At 48.3% G+C, this 23,658-nt stretch overlaps 2 protein-coding genes across 6 annotated transcripts in view, besides 1 other annotated feature; one reads left to right on the top strand and one right to left on the bottom strand.

Annotated features, from left to right (window-relative positions):
- Positions 259-308: an enhancer, noted in NCBI's record as "active region_29670". NCBI's record gives its function as "activates an Ori minimal core promoter by ATAC-STARR-seq in GM12878 lymphoblastoid cells {active_cell/tissue: GM12878}" and the evidence as "EXISTENCE:reporter gene assay evidence [ECO:0000049][PMID:35858748]".
- Positions 541-8,169, top strand: TSR2 (TSR2 ribosome maturation factor). Of its 5 annotated transcripts, none has more exons than NM_001346791.2 (5): positions 541-639; positions 827-1,028; positions 3,537-3,628; positions 4,145-4,321; positions 4,553-8,169. In NM_001346791.2, the coding sequence occupies exons 4-5, from the start codon at positions 4,166-4,168 to the stop codon at positions 4,685-4,687; spliced, it is 291 nt and encodes a 96-aa protein (NP_001333720.1). In that variant the 5' UTR covers positions 541-639; positions 827-1,028; positions 3,537-3,628; positions 4,145-4,165; the 3' UTR covers positions 4,688-8,169. The 5 variants fall into 5 exon arrangements, with proteins under 5 accessions (NP_001333720.1, NP_001333719.1, NP_477511.1 ...); NM_001346790.2 differs by having other exon boundaries at positions 4,154-4,321; NM_058163.3 differs by having other exon boundaries at positions 827-917.
- Positions 5,591-23,658, bottom strand: part of FGD1 (FYVE, RhoGEF and PH domain containing 1) — a 50,781-nt gene continuing 32,713 nt past the window's right edge. The window contains exons 9-18 of the mRNA NM_004463.3: positions 16,646-16,704; positions 16,357-16,503; positions 15,829-15,921; positions 15,585-15,664; positions 10,408-10,438; positions 9,796-9,897; positions 9,280-9,405; positions 8,943-9,104; positions 7,448-7,591; positions 5,591-6,551 (exon numbers count right to left, since the gene is read on the bottom strand). Of these exons, the coding sequence (NP_004454.2) occupies positions 6,246-6,551; positions 7,448-7,591; positions 8,943-9,104; positions 9,280-9,405; positions 9,796-9,897; positions 10,408-10,438; positions 15,585-15,664; positions 15,829-15,921; positions 16,357-16,503; positions 16,646-16,704 (1,250 nt within the window). The 3' untranslated portion in view covers positions 5,591-6,245. The remainder of the gene's footprint in view (positions 6,552-7,447; positions 7,592-8,942; positions 9,105-9,279; positions 9,406-9,795; positions 9,898-10,407; positions 10,439-15,584; positions 15,665-15,828; positions 15,922-16,356; positions 16,504-16,645; positions 16,705-23,658) is intronic.

A 23,658-nucleotide genomic window follows, 5' to 3' on the forward strand; every position in this document is an offset into this window, starting at 1 on the left:
TGTAAATGCTATGTATATAGCTGTTATACTGTACTGTTTAGGAGAATAATGTCAAGAAAAAAAGTATACACATGTTCAATGCAGATGCAATTTTTTCCTGAATATTTTCCATCTGAGGTTAGTTGAATTCACGGACGTGGACTGCCCCCCATAGGGAGAGCTGATTGTATTTTACTGTTGTTGGTTGCAGTATTCTATACAGATGTTAGGATGCTTTTTTTAAATGCAGATTTTTAAGGCTATACTCACTGAGTCCTCTGCCCCAGGGCCTGGAATCTGTATCTGTAATAAGTTCCCCACATATTTCCTCCGCAGTACCCACGGATCCGGAAACCATGGCCCCACACGTCCTTCAGGTCTGGTGTCCTTTGATTTAAGTGAGTAACTCTGGTGGTGTCATCGATCGCTCTGACAGATTTTTCTTTTGCTCTAGTCTTGCTGCCAGGTCTGCGGAAAAGAGAATCCTGTGTTCTCAGGCTCGGCTTGCGTCTCGTTCTGCCTGGGCCGAGCTACAGAGGGATTGGGCCGCCGGGACGTCACGTGGACTGGGGCCGGATAATGGCGGGCGCTGCAGAAGATGCGCGAGCTCTTTTCCGGGCTGGGGTCTGCGCGGCCCTGGAGGCCTGGCCGGCCTTGCAGGTCAGTGGGGCCAGGGCCAGGGCAAGGTCAAGGTTAGGGCCCGGGGCAGAACAGGAGTTGGTTGGGCTAGGTGCCTGAGGCTTGGCTAGGCGGCATAAGAGGAGTTGGCTGGGCGGCGTAAGCGGCCTCCAGGCTACTCCAGGTCTGCTCCCAAGCTGACTTGGTGGGCTTGGACCTGTGTTTACAGATCGCTGTGGAGAATGGCTTCGGGGGTGTGCACAGCCAGGAGAAGGCCAAGTGGCTGGGGGGTGCAGTGGAGGATTACTTCATGCGCAATGGTGAGTGAATGTGAGGCGCCGCGACCCGCCTGTGTGGGGGTGTGGAGAGGAGGAGCCCCATCCCGCAGAGCCTGCATTTCCTCTCGAGCAGTTGTGGATTGGTACCTAAAGGTGAGGTGGAATGAATTCAGCTTTTAGAATCAGAATCCTGGATTCCAGTGCTTTACGGGCTGTACCACTGACTCGTGGGATTACTCTGGACAAGGCAGTTTACCTCCCTGAGACTCAGTTTCCTAGTTTCTAAAATGCGTATAAAAGTATCCACCAGAGCGCTGTACAGTAGAAATATTATGCTAGTCACATATAATTTAAAATTTTTTAGTAGCCACTTTAATAAAGCAAAAAGCAGATGAAATCAATGTTAGTAAACTCGGTGTGTATGAAATATTTCAACATGTAGTCAGTATAAAACATTGAGATATTTTACATTTTTTAGTATTAAGTTTTCAAAATCTGGTATTTTACAGTTTTAGCACATTTCGATTTGGCCTAGCCATATTTCAAGTGCTCAGTAACCACCTGTGGCTGTTTGGACAGCAAAGATCTACACTGTAGGCTCGTCTTGAGGGATATACAAGAACAAGAGGCCCAGTAGAGGGCCTGTTGCATAGTATGGTTTTTAAAAAAATCTTCATTCAATTTCTAGCTTTGGAGATGACATTAGGCAGAGTCATCTCTCTCAAGAAAGTATACTATCCATTGAGGATCCACACACGTAAATAGTTACAACATTGATAGATTTTCTGATAAAGAGGAGCTCAGGGTGCATGGGGTAACAGGATGGGGAGACAGCTTCTTAGTGGAGGTGGTGAATTGGGCTGGGTCTTAGTGAGAAGGAGTTAACTAGGTGGGGGAAGCAGAGAGAGCAACACTCAAGTTCTGTGGCATGAGGGTATAATGTGTTATATTTGGAAAGTAGCAGGGAGCTCAGTATTGGAGTATGGGCGTGTGTGCGTGGGGGGTGGAGGAGTGGTAGAGAATGAAGCTGGGGTGTGGGAAGCCCCCTTGAAAAGCATAAGACATGGAAGCCCTTATGTGCCTTTGATTTTATCATTTAGGCCAGTGTTTGCCAAAATTCATGCTAACTAGTTCTGTTAGATGTTCAGTGAAGAAGCTTCTCCAGTTACCTTATGTAAGAAAAACTCTTGTTCTGCTCCCACTGAAAAGTCTTAACACTCATGAACATATTAAAGGCTTGGGTAAGAATAAGAACCACTAAAAAACCTGTTTGCTTTTGTTTCTCATTAGCTTTCTATGGATAGTGTCCCTTAAGACCCAGCAGAACAGATATTTCTCAAAGGCAAACTGTGAAACACTGCAGTGGCTGGTAAAAATTCGTGGGCAGGTTCTAGGGTGAGAAATAGGATGGGATTTGCTGGCTAGAAAGTTCAGGAAATAATCAGTATGAAGCATAACCTGGAGAGGGAAAGACTGATGAGAACGCTGTTTTTGTCTAGAAACTGATGAGGCCTGAAGTAGGACAGTGGCAACAGGCATGGAAAAGAAGGGGTGGAATAGGGCCTTGGAGATTGGTTGGCTGTAGACAGGGAGGGAAAAAGAGGCAAGTTCCTGGTTTGAGTTGATGGGTGGATTAGGTGTCTTTTCTCGGAGTAGAGGAACCCTGGAGGATGCGAAGCAGGTTTAAAGAGTAAGGTGATGAGTCTGGCTTTAGATATGGAAGATCTGCGGCATCTGTGAAACGTCCAGGCACAGAGTAGTCTCAGTTGGAGATAAATTCGGGGGATATTAAGTTTGAGTGGTAGGGAAAGCCAAGAGTGTGGATGAGCTCTCCCAGAGAAAGCACATAGAGGGGAGAGGGCTAGGAGCTTTGTGGGAGACTTTCTTGAGTTACTGTCTAATTCAGAAAAAGTAGAGCATAGGCCCATAGGTAACTGAAGCCCAGAGAGGAAGGTGGCTCAGTCAGAGTCACACAGTAGGATGTCAGTGTCAAGGCTATGATGATTTCATCATTGGAATTACTATGTCCATTTCTTCTTAACTATCCCATTGGTCTGTGGCTTCTTTTATCAGTGGAACCACAGTTGTGAAGGTTCTCTTCACTTCAAAAACTTCAGCTTTTGCATGATAGAAATTAACATGGATCATGGATCTTCACTGTGCTAGGCATTGTGTTGGATGGTTCCTCATAACAGACCTTTGAGGAGGCCACCATTAGCCCCACTTTACAGATGAGAAAACTGAGGCTCAGAAAGAAGTAGCTTGCTCAAGGTCTCATAGAGGGGAGGCTAGTTAGAATAGTCCAGATGAAAGAGGGTGAGTGTAGGGCTGGGAGTTGTGGAAAGAGGCCTTGGTAGGATGGAAGAGATTGGAAATGAGGTATTAATATTTAGTGGTTCTTTAAAAAATTATGTTAAAACCTGGAATGCAGAACACTTTAGCAGATAAAAGGCAGGATGGAAGAGATTGGAAATGAGGTATTTTTAGTGGTTCTTAAAAAATTGTTAAAACCTGGAATGCAGAACACTTTAGCAGATAAAAGGCTCACTGTGCCTTTACCCACCCAGTTGCAGATCCACCAAGTAGATATTGAAGAGCAGTGGGCAGGGGTGATGAAGTTGGCTGGTCTTTGACCCAAGGGCCCTGTCCTTTTCTACTTAGCTGACTTGGAGCTAGATGAGGTGGAAGACTTCCTTGGAGAGCTGTTGACCAACGAGTTTGATACAGTTGTGGAAGACGGGAGTCTGCCCCAGGTGAGCTTATCACGGGCACAACTGCAGTCTCCCTACCTGTAGTCTTTCTTCTCCCCAGCTGTCTGTTTTGGGCCAAGACTCTTGACTATGACTCTGTTGCCTAGAGGAAAAAGTGTAGCCTTTCCAAACCCTGCCTTTTCTTTATTTCTATACATCATTCCCATCCAGGCCTGTTCCTCAGCCCCATCCCAAGGGCAGGTCAGGCCAGTCCAGGTCCATTTTCACCCCCGCTCTGGTTACCATTGCTCCCCAATAAGATTACCTTCCCTTTTACATCTTATTTCTTTCAAAGCCCAGTTCTAGAGGATTCCCTGCTAGTTAGGCTCTCTTTTGATGCTTTAGGCCTTCATTTGAGCCCTTCATATGTGGTTGCTTCATTGGTTAATTCCTTGGGGAGGAAAGAGCTCTGTTCTCTTCTGGAAAAATCCAACCTACTCCCCACTGTTGCTTCAAACACGTGCTGTTTGTATAGTAGATATCTGGAAAATCCAAACTGGTTGAATATTTTCTTGGTAGGTGAGCCAGCAACTGCAGACCATGTTCCACCACTTCCAGAGGGGTGATGGGGCTGCTCTGAGGGAGATGGCCTCCTGCATCACTCAGAGAAAATGCAAGGTCACAGCCACTGCACTTAAGACAGCTAGAGAGACTGATGAGGATGAAGATGATGTGGACAGTGTGGAAGAGATGGAGGTGAAGTGGGTGCCCCCTGGGTTGGGGGATACAGATGTTTTCAATTTTCTGGAAGAGCAGCTAGATTCACAGGGAAGTGATAAGGGGATGGTGGTGGTTGGTGGTAGTAGTATTATCCAGAGAGGGCAGGGAACTTTCCTAAAGTTACACAGCCAATCCTGGAAAAGCTGGAGCAGAGCCTGGGTCTCCAGTGGTCAGTGTATTCAGCTCTCTTTTAAATCTCCCCTCCAGGTCACAGCTACGAATGATGGGGCTGCTACAGATGGGGTCTGCCCCCAGCCTGAACCCTCTGATCCAGACGCTCAGACTATTAAGGAAGAGGATATAGTGGAAGATGGCTGGACCATTGTCCGGAGAAAAAAATGAGTGGGGATGATTGGAAATGGCTTTGGGCCCTTATTTGCTGTTCTAAGAGTTGTCTGTAGGGGTTTTTTTTTTGAGGATTGCAGACCTGTGGACTGGTTACCCCATCTCCACCCTCTCCCCTGTTCCTCTGTCTGGCTCCCTCCAGGGCAAGGAAAACCTAGGGTCCTTGGTCTTGGGGGTGGGGGGACCTTTTCCAGCATATTCCCCTGGGCCTTTAGTTAACATCCGAGTGACGAAGCCGGGTTCCCCAGTACAGTGTCTTTTGGGTGCGGTCATTGTGAGGAAGGGGATGAGTGAGTGTGGGTGTGGCTGGAGGAGGAGCTAGATGCCGGTGGACAGTGGGCAGGTGGATTTGGGGAGGAGAGGATCAGCAGCAGCAGCAGTACTCAGTGATAGGGGGCTGGCTGGGTCAGGAATGGTGAGATGAACATGCAAGTGGAAGAGAGAATAGTTGAAAATGTGAATGAAAGTAGCTCTGGAGCCTCTCCCTTACCCCACCCCACACACACGCAACAGCTCTGTACCCCTGCCCAGAACTTGGAACCTCCCAGGAATGCTGCCTTCCTTCAGCCCAGCCTCCAGTCCTGGGTTCCCTCAGGAATTCGAAGACCTTGGCTAGGTGGTGAGCTTGGAAGAGCTGGGCTTTGTTTTCTGTCTCCTCTAACCTCTTTCCTTACTCCTTATCCCATCCCATTTGAGTTCAGGGGTGAGGCTTAAGATCTTAATAAATAATACCTTACTGCTTAATCTGTGGCTTGACCTGTGAGTAGTAGCCTTAGAATCAGCCTTCTGGGAGCTCAGCTTCAGAGTTTACAAGGGAGCAGTTTCTGGGCCCACCCTAGCAGCCTGGTACTTTGGACAACCAAACAGATGAACGAACGGAGCACAGCAGTGCTATGAAAGTTACTGTAAGCCTGAAATAAACTGTATTTTTCTTAAAAAAAAAAAAACACACAAAAAAACACAAAAAACTGAGTATCCATTGTCCTCCCCCCTGTTTCCCTGTCCTGCCCGCTGGCCCTGCCATGGGTCTGGACGATAAAATACTGGGTAGCCTTGGGGCCGGGTAGAAGCTGTAAGCCATGGGAGAGGCAGGAGAGGTCTAGTTGCCACCCCACGTGGAGTTGTACGTGTGAAGACACTGGCTGAGGAGGCAGGGCTGGGTCGGGGCCCCAGGGTCAGTGGCAGAGCTGGCACTTGAATCCAGGTCTCCTACCTCTGGTGCTTTGTGGGGAACTGGGTGGAGGCAGGATCTGTGGTAGGGTATTGAGGGATGAGGGAGAAAAACGACCTAATTCAGGTAGGACTGGCAACGGCTCCCACCCTCCCTGGGGACAGGGATTAATAAAAATTGACATCACTGTAGGAATATATTTTTTAAAAGCCCACGTTTTGTGAAAAGATGAATTAAAAAACCCAAGACCCAGCATTCGGGATTGAAAGTGCCCGTGATGGGAGTTCAAGTATTGACTGAGCTGGGAGGGAAGGGGCTAGAGCCCCCAATCAGACATGGGCAACTAGAGTGTGGGGTGGGGGCTCCCAGTTTGTCCCAAACCCTCTAGGTCTTGTCTCGGGTCTGGGGGGATTCGGGGGGTTCAGCAGTGGCTCCTAAAGCAGCCACCGGTGCCTCCTCCATCTCCCTGTCCTCAGACAGTGTGGGCCCCGGGCAGAACGTGTCCCCTCGGCCCGCCCGGCCAAGCACAGCCATCCAGCGTCGCTGTAGTTCCTCTGTCTCAGGGCTGAAGTACCAGCTGAGGTGGCTCTGGGTGATCTTGAAGACATGCCTTCTGTCAGGCCGCTCCCCTGCCTCGGGCGGTCCCACCTCGAAGCCAATGAGGGGCAGGCTGCGCTGGGCTTTCACATCCTGGCGGGAGGAGGGACAGAGCTGGGGCCACCTTGGGGCTAGACCTTTCCCCCGCCCCAGCTTCTAACTGGTTTTGCATATGCTCTGTCTTCAGTCCCCTACTCAGGAACTCCCCTACTCAGGAACCTTCCGTGGCTCCAGTGTTATCAACAGGAACATGTCAGAACTGGGGCTAAAATGCAGGCTGGTTTAAATACCTGTCTCCCCCCACCCCCGCCTCTTCTCACAAAACTGCTGGGCTAGTCTCTTTAGCATACCAAATAATGTTTTCAGGCCTTTGTCTATGCTATTGCCCCTATCTGCATACTTTTTTTTTTTTTTTTTTTTGAGACAGAGTCTTGCCCTGTTGCCCAGGCTGGAGTGCAGTGGCATGAACTTGGCTCACTGCAACCTCTACCTCCCAGGTTCAAGCAATTCTCCTGCCTCAGCTTCCTGAGTAGCTGGGACTACAGGCACACGTCACCACGCCAGGCTAATTTTTGTATTTTTAGTAGAGACGGGGTTTCACCATGTTGGCCAGGCTGGTCTTGAACTCCTGATCTCAGGTGAGCCACCTGCCTCGGCCTCTCAGAGTGCTGGGATTACAGGCGTGAGCCACTGCGCTCGGTCCCATCTGCATACTCTTACCCACTCCAAATTGGACCTAGCAGTTCCCCATCTCTACTCCTTCCAGGAAGCCAGGCCCACAACTCATCCTGGTTTTCCCTACATACCACAACCACTCCTTGTCTCTAGCCAGTCTTTGTCTCTCAAGGGTTGGGGTTCTGATTTCCTCTTAGAGATAGGCTCACCTTATCTTCCAAGGCTCACCTTATCTTCCAAGGCCAAGGAGAGGTCAAGGACTGGATCTGGCTTTGCCAGGTGGCTGAAAGGACCCGAAGGAGTAGGATGCATACCTGAGGGGCTCCGTAGATATACAGCACCAAGGGTTCATTTTCAGGGACCACGAACCATGCCTTGTGCCATCCTTTGCCACCCTTCTCCATGTAGTGCAGGAAGCTGCAGATGACGCTGTTCTCTGCAGCCACTGAGGCCTGTTTCTGTGGCCAGAGACACCGGGCATCAATGTTGACAGAAGGCCTAGCCTGGCTCCTCCTAGCTTTAATACCTCCTCAGTGTAGGGACTGCTATTCCTATCTCAGATGAAGACGCTCAAGCTCAGGTGGCAGGAGTGATTTGTCCAGTGCCACCCAGTGAATCAGCTAGAGCTGAGATTCAAAGCTAGGTTCGTCTGCCTCATTTGGGCAACGGCTGCTGCCTCTACAGGCCAGTGGAAGGAGTGTGCGGATCTCAGGCATTCTTTCTTCAGTCAGAGCATTCATTCCTCAAGCCATTCACACATTTAGGCCTCATGCTTTTTTCTGTCTTTCATCACATCCATTTCCTACACTCATTGAGAGGTAATCTAGCATTGTGGTTTTAAGGGGGTATGTGGGTGGTTAATGAAGTCTGGCTTAGAATCCCAGCTCTAGATGAAAATGTATTGACTTGGAGAGCAAAGAGAGCTGATGTGAGAATTAAATGAATTAATATATGCAAAGTGCTTAGAATAGTTCCTGGCACAGAGTAAGTACTCTTTTAAGTGTTAAATAAATACCTAGATTTGTTTTTAAAAAAATCTCCAAAATGTGTGTTTGTGCATATATGCCTAGAAAGATAGGATAAGCCCTCACAATGGTAACTTTTGGGTAGAAGGGATACGGTATTTTATTATTTTTTGTTTATATTGGTCTACTTATCCTACTTTGTAATAACAAAAGACAATTTTTAAATTTTTTTTTTTTTTTTGAGACGGAGTTTTGCTGTTGTTGCCCAGGCTGGAGTACAATGGCGCGATCTTGGCTCACCGCAACCTCTGCTTCCCAGGTTCAAGCGATTTGCCTGCCTCAGCCCTCCCAAGTAGCTGGGATTGCAGGCGTGCGCCACCATGCCTGGCTAATTTTGTGTTTTTAGTAGAGATGGGGTTTCTCCACATTGGTCAGGCTGGTCCTGAACTCCCGACCTCCGGTGATTCACCCGCCTCAGCCTCCCAAAGTGCTGGGATTACAGGCATGAGCCACTGTGCCCAGCCAATTTTTTAATTTTAAAAAAATCCAGTGCTGCCACTCATTTGCTGTGTAATTTGGGCAAATGACCCCTCTGGGCCTCAGTTTCCTCGTTTGTAAAATAAAGAGAACAATAGCATGGGCAGATTAGTTACTGTGGGGATTAAATGTCTAAGTACTTAAAGATGACTGTCTTTCATTCACTCTTGCCGTCATTTTATTCACTCCAAGCCTGGGTCCCTTGATCACTACTGTTTCCCAAATACTCGGGCCTCCTCAGTCTCACTGGGTAGAGTTGGAACCCATTTGCCCACTGTGGGAGAGTTAGTCAGGGGCTGGCTCTTACCTCCAGGATGGACCTCCGGCGCTGGGGTGTATGCTGGCTGCAGGCTGGACTGCTCCCAGGCACCCCGTGCAAGGCCACATAGCAATCAGTGCACACACGGTTGGAGCGGTTGTTGTCATAGACGAGGCGGGCCCGGAACTCGGAGCACTTCCCACAAACCACCTGGGGTGGCAAGTGGGCAAGAGTAGCCTGATTCCAGCGGGTCTTCCCTTCAGCATACCAACTCCCACAGCAGACTTGTGGCCTCCCCCCACTTGGAGGGTACCCACTCTGCAGTGGGCCTTTGGGCTGCCATTCTGTCCCCTCCCTAGCTCTGCCCCTGCCTCCCAACACTCACATGCCCGCAGGCCTTGCAGTGGTGCCTGCGTTTGGTGATAGAATTGAAGGGCTCCTGGCAGCGCATGCACATGGTGACTTCCTTTTCCCGGATGGGCGTAGGTGCCCGCTTCCCAAGATCCACGTTCTGTAGGGAGGGCCAGGTCTCAGGTCAGAGACAGCTACTCCCCAGCCCAGTCCAGCCAGCCCTTGTTCCTGCTCCAACGCTTGGATTATCATGGGGTGGGGATGGGCTGGGGGTAGGGGGAGCAGCCACATTCAGAAGACCTGCCTTTAAGTCCTGGCTCTGCTCCTAGCTGTGCTACTGAAGACAAGTCACTTCTATTATACTTTCTGGGCCTCAGTTTCCCCAATGATTTCTCTGTGGCCCTACCAATGGAAGACTGCTTCTGAAGTCATGCATTGCCTCTCTGGTCATTACCGTCTAGGAAAGGGAGAGGATCATCTAAAGGTCAGGTGGGCATTTGGAAGTCTGGAAGGGGTCCCAGTGCAGGGGAAAGAGGGCGGGGACTCTTACTGGAGAGTTGGGTGGGGTGTCTTCATCTTCCCTGTTTGTTGAGTTCAACAGTTTGAAAGTCTCCAGCGTCTGTTCATGCTTCAGGAGGGTGGAGTTGATGGCCTGGGGAGGAGGTGTAAGAAATGAGAAGTCAGATCACCCCACAAACTACCCATTTCTACCCTCGCCTCACCTTCGTATACCCTAGCCTGAAGTTAGAAAAGCTGGGTTTCAAACCCAGTTCTGTCACTGGTAGGTGGATGACTTTGAACAAATCCCCTCCCAAATCCAGGTCTCAGTGTTACAAGTGTAAAATGGGGGAGGGGGAGTGGTGGCTGAAAAACCTCAGGTGGCTTTCCTGGCCACCTTCTGGGCTTAAGATTTTACAGAGCTTGACACCCTCACCTTATACACCCTCAGAGAAACCAGCTTCCTAAAAGAAGAGTTTGTGAGTTTCTGCTCAACCTCTGCACCTCAGTTTGCTTATCTGTAAAATGGGGATAGTAAAGTTTGCTGAAAGACAGTTGTCCAGGACCATTCTGGTTAGCTGTGAGTTTTGAGGGAGAATCTATCAACCCCTAGGAGACCTGTTAATACTCTTCTAGCCCCCTACCACAGAGCCTTGGATGTTACCTGGACCCAGTCTTTCTTCTCCTCCTCAGTCCTTGGGGTGGGGAATAAAAAAGAAAGATGTTTGGTTAGGTAGGCCCACAAAAAGCAATAGGAGTGGAAGAGCAGGTGTTTTGGAGTCAGAAAGACCTGGGCTTGACCCTCTTCTTCACCTATTACTTATATGACCTTGGGCAAGTCACATAATCTGCCTGGGTTTATTTATTCAACGATTACTAATACTTTCCAGACCCTGTGCTAAGAACTTGAGCTTCAGAGAGGACCCTGCCCTCAAGGAGCTCATGGTCTAGTAGAGGAAATAGACAGGGACAATACAGGGAGATCAGTGTTTTGATGGTGAAAATAAGGCCAAGGAGCCCAGAGGAGGTGACATGCCCCAGTCTGAAGTTTGGGTGAGGACTTTTCAAGGAGGTGCTAGGCCTCAGGTAGAGGGGTAAGGGTGAAATGTGTGGGAGAGAATATAGAACATAAAAGAAACCGTGTCAATAATTATCAGTTGGCCGGGTGTGGGTGGCTCACACCTGTAATCCCAGCACTTTGAGAGGTCAAGGCGGGTGGATCACTTGAGGTCAGGAATTGGAGACCAGCCCGGCCAACATGGTGAAATTCTGTCTCTACTAAAAGTACAAAAATTAGCCGGGCGTGATGGCTCATGCCTGTAGTCCCAGCTACTCAGGGGGCTGAGGCATGAGAATCGCTTGAGCCCAGGAGGCGGAGGTTGCAGTGAGCGGAGATCGTCCCACTGCACTCCAGCCTGGGTGACAGAGTGAGACTCTGTCTCAAAAAGGAAAAAAAATTCTCTGTTGCTGGGTGTCAAGTTGAGAAAAGAGGGTAGTTTTTTTTTCATTTGTAAAATGGAGATAATGATTATCACTCTCTGGGTTCTCAGCAGTAACCGAGGTAACGTGTACAGTGCTCAGCACAATGTCTGGCACACTCGATGCTCAATCAGTGTGCGTTCCCCTTCCCTGACTCTTCTGTCTGCCCTGCACTGCACTGCAATCACTTTATTCTGACTGTATTCTTTTTTTTTTTGAGACGGAGTCTTGCCCTGTCACCCAGGCTGGAGTGCAGTGGCGTGATCTCAGCTTACTGCAACCTCCGCCTTCCAGATTCAAGCCATTCTCCTACCTCAGCCTCCCCAGTAGCTGGGATTACAGGTGTGTGCCACCATGCCTGGCTAATTTTTGTATTTTCAGTAGAGACGGGGTTTTGCCATGTTGGCCAGGCTGGTCTTGAACTCGTGACCTCAGGTGATCCACCCGCCTTGGCCTCCCAAAGTGCTGGGATTACAGGCGTGAGCTACCGTGCCTGGCCTATTCTGATTGTATTCTTTTAAAAAATTATTTTATTGGCCAGGTGCAGCGGCTCATGCCTGTAATCCCAGCACTTTGGGAGGCCGAGGCGGCTGGATCACCTGAGGTCAGCCTAGCCAACATGGTGAAACCCCGTCTCTACTGAAAATACAAAAATTGGCCGGGCGTGGTGGCGGGAGCCTATAATCCCAGCTACTTGTGAGGCTGAGGCAGGAGAATCGCTTGAACCTGGGAGGCGGAGCTTGCAGTGAGCCGAGATGGAGCCATTGCTGCCACTCCAGCCTGGGCAACAAGAGAGAAACTGCGACTCAAAAAAAAGAAATATTTTATTTATCTATATTTTCTAATTTATAATTTCTTAGAAGTGAACAAGTGTTGCTTTTTATTTTTAAGAGCCACAATAGACGGAGTGGTGGCTCATACCTGTCATCTCAGCACTTTGGGAGGCTGAAGCGGGAGGATTGCTTGAGGCCAGGAGTTTAAGACCAGCCTGGGCAACATAGTGAGACCTCATCTCTACAAAAAATACGAAAATTAGCTGGGCATGGTGGCATATGCTTGTATTCCCAGCTACTTGGGAGGCTGAGGCAGGAGGATCACTTGAACCCAGGAGTTCGAGGCTGAAGGGAGCCATGATAACGCCACTGCACTCTAGCCTGGATGACAGGGAGAGACCCTATCTCAAAAAAAAAAAAAAAAAAAAAAAAGAACTACAGTATAGTAGAGTTTTTTGGCTATTCATGCTGAAGTGTATAGGGGTGAAGTGTCCTGATATTTGTAATTTACTTTAAAATGGTTCAGCAAAAGACATTTAATGTCAGTAGTTGTTGACTCTTAAATAAGTGGTTGTACACCCTGATACACACATTAAAATCACCTAGGGACCAGGCGTGGTGGCTCATGCCTGTAATCCCAGCACTTTGGGAGGCCGAGCCGGGCAGATCACAAGGTCAGGAGTTCAAGACCAGCCTGGCCAATATGGCGAAACCCCGTCTCTACTAAAAATGCAAAAATTAGCCGGGCGCGGTGGCATGCACATGTAGTCCCAGCTACTCAGGAGGCTAAGGCAGGAGAATCACTTGAACCCGGGAGGTGGAGGTTGCAGTGAGCCGAGATGGCGCCACTGCACTCTGGCCTGGGCGACAGAGTGAGACTCCATCTCAAAAATAAATAAATAAAAATTAAAAAGTAAAATAAAATCACCTGGGGGGCTTTTAGAGCTCTCCATGTTCAGGCTATCCCCCAAGCCAATTAAATCAGAATCTCTGCAGGTGGGTCCCAGGCATCCGTATTTTTTAAAAGCTCCCCAGCTGATTCCAAAGGTTGCCAAAGTTGAGAAGCAGCTGTCTAAGTTGTGGGCATCTGGGTGCTTGTTGTACTTACACTTTTCCGGATATTTGAAAATTTGCATTAAATTTCTTTTTTCTTTTAAGGGCAGTAAAAGTGACTGCAAAGCAAAGCAAACCCTCCATGCCTTCCTGCTGCCACTAGGAGGAAATCCTACATTGCTTGGCTGCCCCTTCTGGGCCCAGTGTCCCACTGCAGCCCCTTTCCTCTCTGCAGATGATGAGTCCCTGTCACGTGGCTTGTCACTCCCCTGGATGTGCAGGGCATCTGCTTTGCTCTCACTTTCCCTGCTGCAGGCCTCCATGAGGCTCTCAATCTCCCCAAGCTTCAAGACTCACTTCATCCCCCAGGAGGATACCCTCTATCTCACATTCATCTCTCTCTCCCACCTCCTTGCAGTCCCAGCCAGTCATTTCTCACTTTCTCACAGCCTGTCAGAAGCAGGCCATCTGCTGACATGCATCCATCCTCTGGCCCTCACCATGACCCTGATACCCTTTCACCTGGTCCCTCAGAAGGCAGCATAGACAGTGGTTAGGAATGTGGACTCCAGGGCCGGATGACCTGAGCTCCAATCTCAGCTCTGCTCCTTTCTTGCTCTGGGATCTTGGGCAAGTACATAAATATTCTTTTTCTTTCTTTCTTCTTTCTTTTTTAAGAGGCGAGGTCTCGTTATGTTGCCCAGGCTGGTCTCGAACTCCTGGCCTCAAGTGATCCTCCTACCTTGGCCTCCCAAAGTGCTGGGATTACAGGCGTGAGCCACTGCGCCCTGCATGCAGAACTGTCCTACACCTAAGTTTCCCCATTTGTAAAGTAGATTTATGGTAACAGTAGCTACTTCTAGGGCTCTTGTAAGCTTTTGACTAGTCAACTTAGACTTAAAATTTTAAGTTAACATTAACTTAAAACAGCACCTGGCAAAAAACTAAGTCTTGAGGAAATATGAGCTATGATTATAATCATCGAAGTAGAGAATGGATATGAAAGGCCCCTCTGTTAAATGGCTGGCCATCATCCCATGCTATTATTTTAAAATGTTTATTATAAAAAACTTCAAGCATACAAAAAAGTAAACAGGATAGCACAAGTACAATACATATCTATATACCTACTATAGAGATGCAAAATTTTTTTATATTTTGCCATATTTACTTCATATATATGTACATACAGTCACGCGTCACTTAACCACGGGGATGTGTTCTGAGAAAGGTGTCGTTAGACCATTTCATTGTTGTGCGACTATCAGAGAGCGTACTGACACTAGTACACTAGATGGTCTAGCCTACGACACACCTAGGCTATAAGGTACAGCCTATGGCTCTTAGGCTACAAACCTGTAAAGCATGTTACAGTTGTACTGAATATTGTATTAATTTGTAGCACACTAATTATTTGGGTATGTAAACATATCTAAACCTAGAAAAGGTATAGTAAAGACAGGCGTAGTGACTCACGCCTGTAATCCCAGCACTTTGGGAGGCCAAGGCGGGCAGATCACTTGAGATCAGGAGTTCGAAACCAGCCTGGCCAACATAGTGAAACCCTGTCTCTACTAAAAATACAAAAATTAGATGGGCGTGGTGGCATGCACCTATAATCCCACTTATTCAGGAGGCTGAGGCAGGAGAATTGCTTGAACCTGGGAGGTGGAGGTTGCAGTGAGCCGAGATCATGCCACCGCACTCCTGGGTGACAGAGTGAGACTCTGTCTTAAAAAAAAAAAAAAAAAAAGAAAAGGTAGAGTAAAATATGATACTTTAATCTTATGGGGCCACTGTGTATATATGGTCTGTCATTGACCAAAATGTTTTATACAGTGCATGACTGTATATGTGTATGTATGTATATGTGTGCAAATGTGTATGTATGGTTACATATGTATTTTTTGGGTGCTGAACCATTTTAAAGTAATTAACAGACATTGTGACACTAAGCCCTCAGCATGCACTGCTGCAAAACAAGGCCATTCTCCTGCATAACCACCATAACATTATCACACCTAAGACAGCAATAATTTCTCAATATCTAATGTTCACTTTACATCCACATTTTCTCTTATTGTCCCACAAATGTCTTTTAGGGCTCTTTTTCCCAAACCAGGCTTCTGTCATGGACCAAGTACTGCATTTGATTGTTATTTCTCTTAGATCTGTGAATCTACAATAAACTATTTGTGGTGGTATTATTCATGTTGGGTTTCACATCCCATTCTTCTCTCTCCTCTAACAAAATCCACCAGAAGAAATTCTTGGTTTAATTAGGGAGAGCTTATTCATTTTCCAAAAGGTTTCCCTGGCAGGAGTGCCACCTTTCCCCATATCGTGAAGTACTCACCCTGAATCTAAATGGTGTCTAACCCTTAGGGATCACCCCCACCGCTGAAGAGCAAGCCTGCATCTTTGGGGAAAGGTGCCCATCCTTTCTCTGGAACAATCTCTGGGCCTGGAATGCCTCAGCATATCTGAACAAAAGGGAGGTAGGCGCTGGAGGAAAGGCATAGGCAAGGATAAGTACCTGGCCTGGAGCTCGAGGGAGCGCTGCTTTCCTGACACCAGGAAGGTTCGAGGCAGATTGAGGTTGGAGCTCTCCTTTAGCTGAATGGAGGCAGAAAGGGGCATGGTGAGGCCACTGAACTCCACAGGGCCCTAGCCCTCTGCACACATACACACACAGACTCGGGGTCAAAGCCAGCATCTTTGTTCCTCCCAACACCAATGCCCCACTCCAAGTTCCCATTTCCCACCTCTTGGATGCTTACCTCCATGCCATCTACATCAATGCGTGCCCGCACGCTAAACTTCTGGCCAAGGAGCCGCAGCCTGGGCACGCAGTAAAGGAGGCGGTCGTTGAACTAGGAAGGAAAAAGTTTGGGATGTATGTGCAGAGGGCCTAGTGGGGATGTGGCCCAGCTCCTTGCCCTGAAGCTTTACTGCCAAGGACTGTAGGCAATAGATGGAGAAAAGACAGCCCAAATTGGGCACAGGGGTCACAAGGAAAGAGCCTAGGCATGGAAGACACTTCCTAGTGGGGAACCTCGGGCAAGTCACTTCTCTGCAAGGCTTATTTGCCTCATCTGTAAAGTGGAGAAAAAAAATCCTAGCTAGGTAGTGAAAATACAATTCGTTACTAGAGGAGAGAATGACTAGCAGGAGGTATAGTCTGTTTTTCTTTTTTTTCCTCTTTCAGGAATGAAAGGAGGTATAGTCTTTGAGTGAGTACCAGGTCACTATGTGTGTGTGTGTTGGGAGGGGCATGACCCACCCACAATTCCATGCCTGGCACTTACTAGTATGAGGTATCGGTCTTGAGTGGTCCCATTCTTTGCTGACAGCTTAAGGATGTGGCCTTCTTTTATGAGCTCTTTGGTGGGGCTGACAATGTCCTCCTCGCCCCCTAACAGCTCATATACCTTCAGCAGCTTATGCATTCGCTCCTGGCAAAAGACAGGGAACAAAAGGCACGGTTGGGGTGCCAGCCTCCTGTCAGATGCCCACAAGTCACGACACCCCCACTCCAGGATGGAGACACCACAGGTGGGTGGCCAAGGAAGGGCAGGGGCTAGAAGGGCCACTCACCATTTTGCGGATGGCAGCATTCGAGTGCTCTGCTGCTGTGGCGATCAGCTCCAGAGACTCTACAGGCATAGAGGGGTGAGGTCAGATGGGGGACTAGCAGAGAGGAGCCTTTCCGGGGCTTTGTTTTTTGTTTTTTTTTTTTGAGACGGAGTCTCACTCTGTTGCCCAGGCTGGAGTGCAGCGGCATGATCACGGCTCACCACAACCTCTGCCTCCCGGGTTCAAGCGATTCTCCTGCCTCAGCCTCCCAAGTAGCTGGGACTACAGGCACGTGCCACCATGCCTGGCTAATTTTTGTATTTTTAGTAGAGACGGGGCTTCACTATGTTGGCCAGGCTGGTCTCGAACTCCTGACCTTGTGAACCACCCACCTCAGCCTCCCAAAGTGCTGGGATTACAGGCGTGAGCCACCGCACCCGGCCTCGGGGCTTCTTTCCTCCCTGAATACCTCCTCCTGGCCTGATCACACCCTCCCATCTCAGAAAGCTCCACCCTCAAAGATGTCCACAGCAACATCATTTAAAATCAGAAGTTGTCCAATGTCACAATGCCAGAATCACAATAGATGGAGTAGTTGGCAGCCAATAAAAAAATGCAAGCTTGCCAAGATTATTATTACCATTAATAATAACAATAATAGTTACATATGTAACCAGAAGGAAGCATACCCATGTTGTCTCTGGTTGGTGGGGCCGTGGGTGGTTTTTATTGTCTTCTTTAGGTTTTTCTGTATTTTCCGTATTTTTGACAAAGAACATGTATTACTTTTATAATCAGAAAAAGCCATATAAAGAAACAATGAGATGATCCTGTTCTTTGTCTCAATGATTCTGATTCTGGGTATCTATTCTAGGAAAATACACATTCTATACACAAACACATTTTTGTCATATTGGTATTTACAACAGTTCCAAGTGGGAAACAAAAATGTCCATCTGTAGGGGAGCACACCTTCACCTGTACCTCTTCCCTGCCAAAAAAAATGGCCAACTGTAGGGGTTCAGTTAAATACATTATGGTGTCTTCATATAATGGAACATTAAACAACCTTTACAAATGATCCTCATGTAGGTCTTTTAATAATCTGGGAAATGCTCAGGGTGTTTTAAGAAAAGGATACAAACATGTTTATATAGAATGATCTTACTTTTACAAGTATACATGTCTAAAAAACACCAGGAAGAATTTATGTCACAATGTTCATTGTGCTTATTCTCTGGGGGCTCAGATAACAGGGGATTTTTTTCCTACTTCTTTCATCTTTTTCTGTAATTTCCATATTTCCTATAGTGACCAGGTATCATCAAAAAAAAAAAAAGAAAAAGCTGAAATGAGTCCCTGTACATCTCCACACACTAATAAATCCCACCCATGCTTAAGGCCTGGCCACAGTCTTTGTGTACCCCATTCTGTATGTGCTGGATCTCCCCACTCAGATCAGCCTGTGCTAGAGGAGCAGAGGTGCTTCTGAAGGAGGTCCATATGGCTGGCCAACCAAGTCGTGTTTTCCTAAGAGGCTCTCTCTTCATGACCAAGTTTTGGTGCTCACGGAGATCTATGGCCCCTGTCCCAGCTCAGGCATCCACATGCCTTTCAGGGGCCGGGCTCCAATCTCCAACCCTTATTCCATCCTAGCTGCCAGAAGGAGCTTTCTCACACAGTTTACTGTCACTCCTCTGCTCAAATCTGTCAATGGCTCCCCTGTGCCTGCAGGGTAAAGACCTAGCCCTTTAGCCTGACATTCAAAGCCCTTGGTGAGGCTGGGCGTGGTGGTTCATGCCTGTAATCCCAATACTTTAGGAGGCCGAGGGGGGCAGATCACCTGACTTCAAGACCAGCCTGGCCAACATGGCAAAACCCCGTCTCTACTAAATTTATAAAAATTCGCCAGGCGTGGTGGCACGTGCCTGTAATCCCAGCTACTCGGGAGGCTGAAGCAGGAGAATCACTTGAACCCTGGAGGTGGAGGTTGCAGTGAGCCGAGATCGCACCACTGCACTCCAGCCTGGGTGACAGAGCGAGACTACGTCTCAAAAAAAAAAAAAAAAAAAAAAAAAGACTCAAAGCCCTTGGTGATGTGGCTTCTGCTGACCACTCCAGCTTCCTACACCTCCCTAAACATGTCCCGTCTTACTTCATCTGGCCAACTGTCACTGTCTTCTGGATCCAGCTCACTTCCTCCAGTGAGCCTGCCCAGAGTTCTCGGGCTGGGTTAGGACCCTGTCTGGGTTCTCACATTCTCCTTTGCTCCCTTCTGTCCCACTAGTCACAGTGCTCATCATGTATTTATACATCTGCATCCATATTCCTCAGTAGACTACGAGCTCCCTAGGACAGGGCCAAGGTCCCACTGCCCTCTCCAGGCAGATGCTTTGGATAAATTAGCTCCTTCAACCCTCACAACAACCCTGTAACATAGATGATTGTGCCCCATTTATCCAATGAGGAAACCAAGACCCAGGGAGAAGGTGACCACCCTAGGTTGCCTACCTGGGTGGCAGAGTTGGCATCAGAGCTGGGAATGATCTCCCAGCTGCCTTTTCTCCTACACATCCTACATCTCCCCCACCCCAAGGCAGGGGGCAGGCTGAGTGGTAGAGGTAGGGGGCACCCAGGGAAGGGGATAGGAAGAAGACTCTGGCAAGTTGTGGGCACACAAGCTCAGGCCTGTGTAGGCTGATGGGCTCTGACTGGAGGCTTTGTTACAACGAGCTCTGTCTGGAGATGTCTCATGTGGAGTACAGACTGGCATTTCCAAGGATCCAGGGTGTACAGTCCCTACCTGGGGGCTCAGTGTGGGGATTTCAGTCTAGAATTTCACTTAGGGGTTCAGGCTAGGGAGTGCAATCTGCGGGGCCTGATGTAGGGGCTTGGTTTGGAAGCGTTAGTGGGGCCTGGTCTGGGCTTGGCAGTCTAGGATCTTGGTTTGGAGTTTAGTCTTGGGCCCAGTGTAGGCAACTGAGGCCAGGAGTTCCAGATGGCCTGGTATGGGGAGATTGGTCTAGGGTCCAGGCTCCAGAGTGCAGTCTGGAAAGTAGAAAGTGGGCAAGTCAGTCTGGGGAACCAGACATATGATTCAGTGAGGCTCAGCCTGGGGAATTTAGTCTGAGGTGTAAAAAATTGGGAGCTCAGCTTACGATCTTGGGCTGAGGATCTTAGTGCGCATATCTCAGGCGGGCTCTCATTCAGAGATTCTCATTCTGAACAGCTCAGAAAACCAGACCGGTAAGTTGTTTCTGGGGACAAAGTTTCATCTTTGGACTTGATGTGGGGAGCTCAATCTGGGAGGCTCCATTAAGGAAGCTCAGTTGGCCAAGCTCAAGCTGTGAGGTTCATCCTGGGGCCTCAGATAGGGTTGGGATTGATACAAAACAGGAAGCTCAATTTCTTCAACTCAGGCTGCTCTGCCTATGGAGTAGCCATTCTTTATTTCTTTACTTTCTTAATAAACTTACTTTCACTTAAAAAAAAAAATAGGCCAGGCACGGTGGCTCACGCCTGTAATCCCAGCACTTTGGGAGGCCGAGGCGGGTGGATCAAAAAGTCAGGAGATTGAGACCATCCTGGCTAACATGGTGAAACCCCGTCTCTACTAAAAAAAAAATACAAAAATAAATAAATAAATAAATAAAAATAATAAAAAAAAATAAAAGGCCGGGTGCGGTGGCTCATGCCTGTAATCCCAGCACTTTGAGAGGCCAAGGTGGGCAGATCATGAGGTCAGGAGATCGAGACCATGCTGGCCAACATGGTGAAACCCCATCTCTACTAAAATACAAAACTTAGCCAGGCATGGTGGTGTGTGCCTGTAGTCCCAGCTACTTGGGAGACTGAGGCAGGGGAATCACTTGAACCCAGGAGGCAGAGACAGCAGTGAGCCAAGATTGTGCCACTGCACTCCAGCCTGGCGAAAGAGCGAGACTCAGTCTCAAAAAAAATAAAAATAAAAATAGGCTGGGTGCGGTGGCGCACGCCTGTAATCCCAGCACTTTGGGAGGGCGAGGCGGGTGGATCACGAGGTCAAGAGATTGAGACCATCCTGGCCAACACGGTGAAACACTGTCTCTACCCAAAATACAAAATTTAGCTAGGCGTGGTGGTGGGTGCCTGTAATCCCAGCTACTTAGGAGTCTGAAGCAGGAGAATCGCTTGAACTTGGGAGGCAGAGATTGCAGTGAGCGGAGATCGCGCCACTGCAGTCCAGCCTGGGCGACAGAGTGAGACTACGTCTCAAAAAAATAATAAATAAATAAAAATAAAAATAAATAAAAAATAAATAAATTTCTTAAACTCAACCTGGGGCCAATTTTAGAGGGATGGGCATTAGCCAGTGCATTTAGTAATAAAAGCAGCTAACATTTATTGAGCCTTTACCATGTGCCAGGCATTGTGCTAGGAGCTTTACCCAGATTATCTCATTACTTCTCAAAACAACCATATGAGGTAGGTATCATTATCATCCCCATTCTACATGTGAGAAAACTTAGGCTGAGAGGCTGAGCAGCTTGCCCAAGGATATACAGTTGAGAAAATGGACTCTATCTGGAGCCCACTCTAGGTTGCTTTCACTGGCGGCTCACTTTGGGTCTAGTGCAGGGAGCTTATTTGGAGAATTTTCACCTGGGGATGTTACGTTGGGGATCCAGTGTGAAAATAAAATTGCAGAACTGAGTCCTGGAAGCTCAATGTGGACATGGGACTAGGCACTTAGCCTGTGTGGCTTAATTTGGGGGACAGTCTAATAATCTAGGGCATTAGTCCTGGAGCTCATCATGGGACTCTCCATCTGGTAAATGAAAAATAGGGGTCGTTGGCCGGGCACGGTGGCTCATGCCTGTAATCCCAGCACTTTTGGAAGCCAAGGCAGGTGGATCACGAGGTCAGGAGTTCGAGACCAGCTTGGCCAAGATGGTGAAACCCCATCTCTACTAAAAACACAAAAATTAGCCGGGCGCGGTGGTGGGTGCCTGTAATCCCAGCTACTTGGGAGGCTGAGGCTGCAGAATCGCTAGAACCAGGGAGGCGGAGGTTGCCGTGAGCCGAGATCGCGCCACTGCACTCCAGCCTGGGTGACGGAGCAAGACTCTGTCTCAAAAAAAAAAAAAAAAAAAAAAAAAAGAAAAAGAAAAAAGAAAAATAGGGGTCATCAGTCTAGGGGACTTGGGCTGGGGAGAACACAATCTGGAATCTCTGTCTGGAGCTCAGTCTGGGCTGCTGAATTTCAGGGTTCCCTCTGGGGAACTCAGAGAATCCAGTCTTGGGGCTCAGTGGGGCTTCAGTCTGTAGGATGGACCTGGAGAGTCAGTCTTTTAAGTTCAGGCTGAAAGTTTCAGTCTGAGGGATATGAAATAGGAGAATTAATCTAGGGTGCTCAGTTTGGCAATACTTGTCTATAGAATGGTGGCCAAGGAGATCAGACTGGGAAGCTCTTTTGGGGACCTCAAGCTGAAGGCTCTCACTGGGAACCCACTCTCAGGGCTCAGTGTGGGAAGAGTATTCCAGGTGGGAAGAGGCCCAGTCTGGGGATCTTAGTTTGAGAAACCAGTGTTGGGATCTATAACTGGGACCTCAGAATGGGCTTAGTATGAAGGTTCAGTTTGGAGATGTCAGTCCATAGGGCCCATCCCAGACAATCAGTCTGGAAGGCCCTTTCTAGAAGTTTAGGCTGGCACCTCAGTGAGGGCTCTTTTTCAGCAGGAGGAATGAGGTACTTACTTATGCTGCAGATGTCTGCTTGTAGAGCTTAGCTATTAAACTTTCTAGAGGCCTAGTTCTTTCTAGGGGTCCAGGCTTGGTAGCAAAGTGCCCCATCTGGCAGGGTGGAGAAGGCTCAGTTTGGGAAGCGGACACAGCAGTGGACACAGCTGTCCACTTCCCATTCTTTTTTTTTTTTTTTTTTTTTGAGATGGAGTCTCACTCCGTGGCTCAGGTTGGAGTGCAGTGGCACGATCTTGGCTCACTGCAGCCTCTGCCTCCCGGGTTCCAGCGATTCTCCTGCCTCAGCCTCCAGGGTAGCTGGGATTACAGGCACGGCCACCACGCCTGGCTAATTTTTGTATTTTTAGTAGAGATGGGGTTTCATCATCTTGGCCAGGCTGGTCTCAAACTCCAGACCTCAGGTGATCTGCCCGCCTCAGCCTCCCAAATTGCTAGGATTATAGGCGTGAGCCACCACGCCCGGCCTCGAACCCCATTCTTATGGCTTTTAGGACCCCACACTTTCTTGGTTTTCTTCCTACCTTTAGGGCTGCTCCTTCTTTTTTTTTTTTTTTTTGAGATGGGGTCTTGCTCTGTCACCCAGGCTGGAGTGCAGTGGCGCCACCTCGGCTCACTGCAACTTCTGCCTCCCGGGTTCAAGTGGTTCTACTGCCTCAGCCTCCTGACTAGCTGGAATTACAGGCGTGCACCATCATACCTGGCTAATTTTTGTATTTTCAGTACAGACAGGGTTTCACCATGTTGGCCAGGCTGGTCTCGAACTCCTGACTTTGTGATCCACCTGCCTCAGCCTCCAAAAGTGCTGGGATTACAGGTGTGAGTCACCGCGCCCAGCCTAGGGCTGCTCCTTCTAAGTCTCCTTTGGTGATTCCACATCCCTGAGCTTTGTCCTTGGCCCCCTTTCCCCTCCTTTTACACTCACTCCCTTTGGTGATCTTGGCCAGCCTTATGGCTTTGGAATACTATCTATGTGCCAATGACATCCAAATCTCTCCCTGAAATTCTAGATTCATCTAACTGCCTGACTAGCAGCTCACTTTGAACATGTCCAAAGTCAGACTCCTAAGATCATCTCAGGAACCATCACCACCAGCCAAAAACCTTTAAGTCATTCCTGACTCTTGCTCCCAAGCCCAGCATCCACTCCACCCTAGTCCTCTCAGTGCTGCTTCTGAAAAGAATGTATCCTGAATCCAACCATTTCTCACCGATTCTACTGCTACTGTCCTCATCCAAGCCAACTTTTCTCACTTGGATTATTGCAAAAGGCTTCTAACTGATCTCTCAGCTCTCTC

The sequence above is a fragment of the Homo sapiens genome, chromosome X (genome assembly GCF_000001405.40).
Source record: "Homo sapiens chromosome X, GRCh38.p14 Primary Assembly".
NCBI classification, from domain to species: domain Eukaryota; kingdom Metazoa; phylum Chordata; class Mammalia; order Primates; family Hominidae; genus Homo; species Homo sapiens.

Bases quoted from the DNA above. Each gene is read 5' to 3' on its own strand.
- TSR2 (NM_058163.3), top strand. From the start codon at position 559: ATGGCGGGCGCTGCAGAAGATGCGCGAGCTCTTTTCCGGGCTGGGGTC. The intron at 640-826 runs GTCAGTGGGGCC...CTGTGTTTACAG, and splicing joins AGGCCTGGCCGGCCTTGCAG to ATCGCTGTGGAGAATGGCTT. The intron at 918-3,536 runs GTGAGTGAATGT...TTTTCTACTTAG, and splicing joins GGATTACTTCATGCGCAATG to CTGACTTGGAGCTAGATGAG.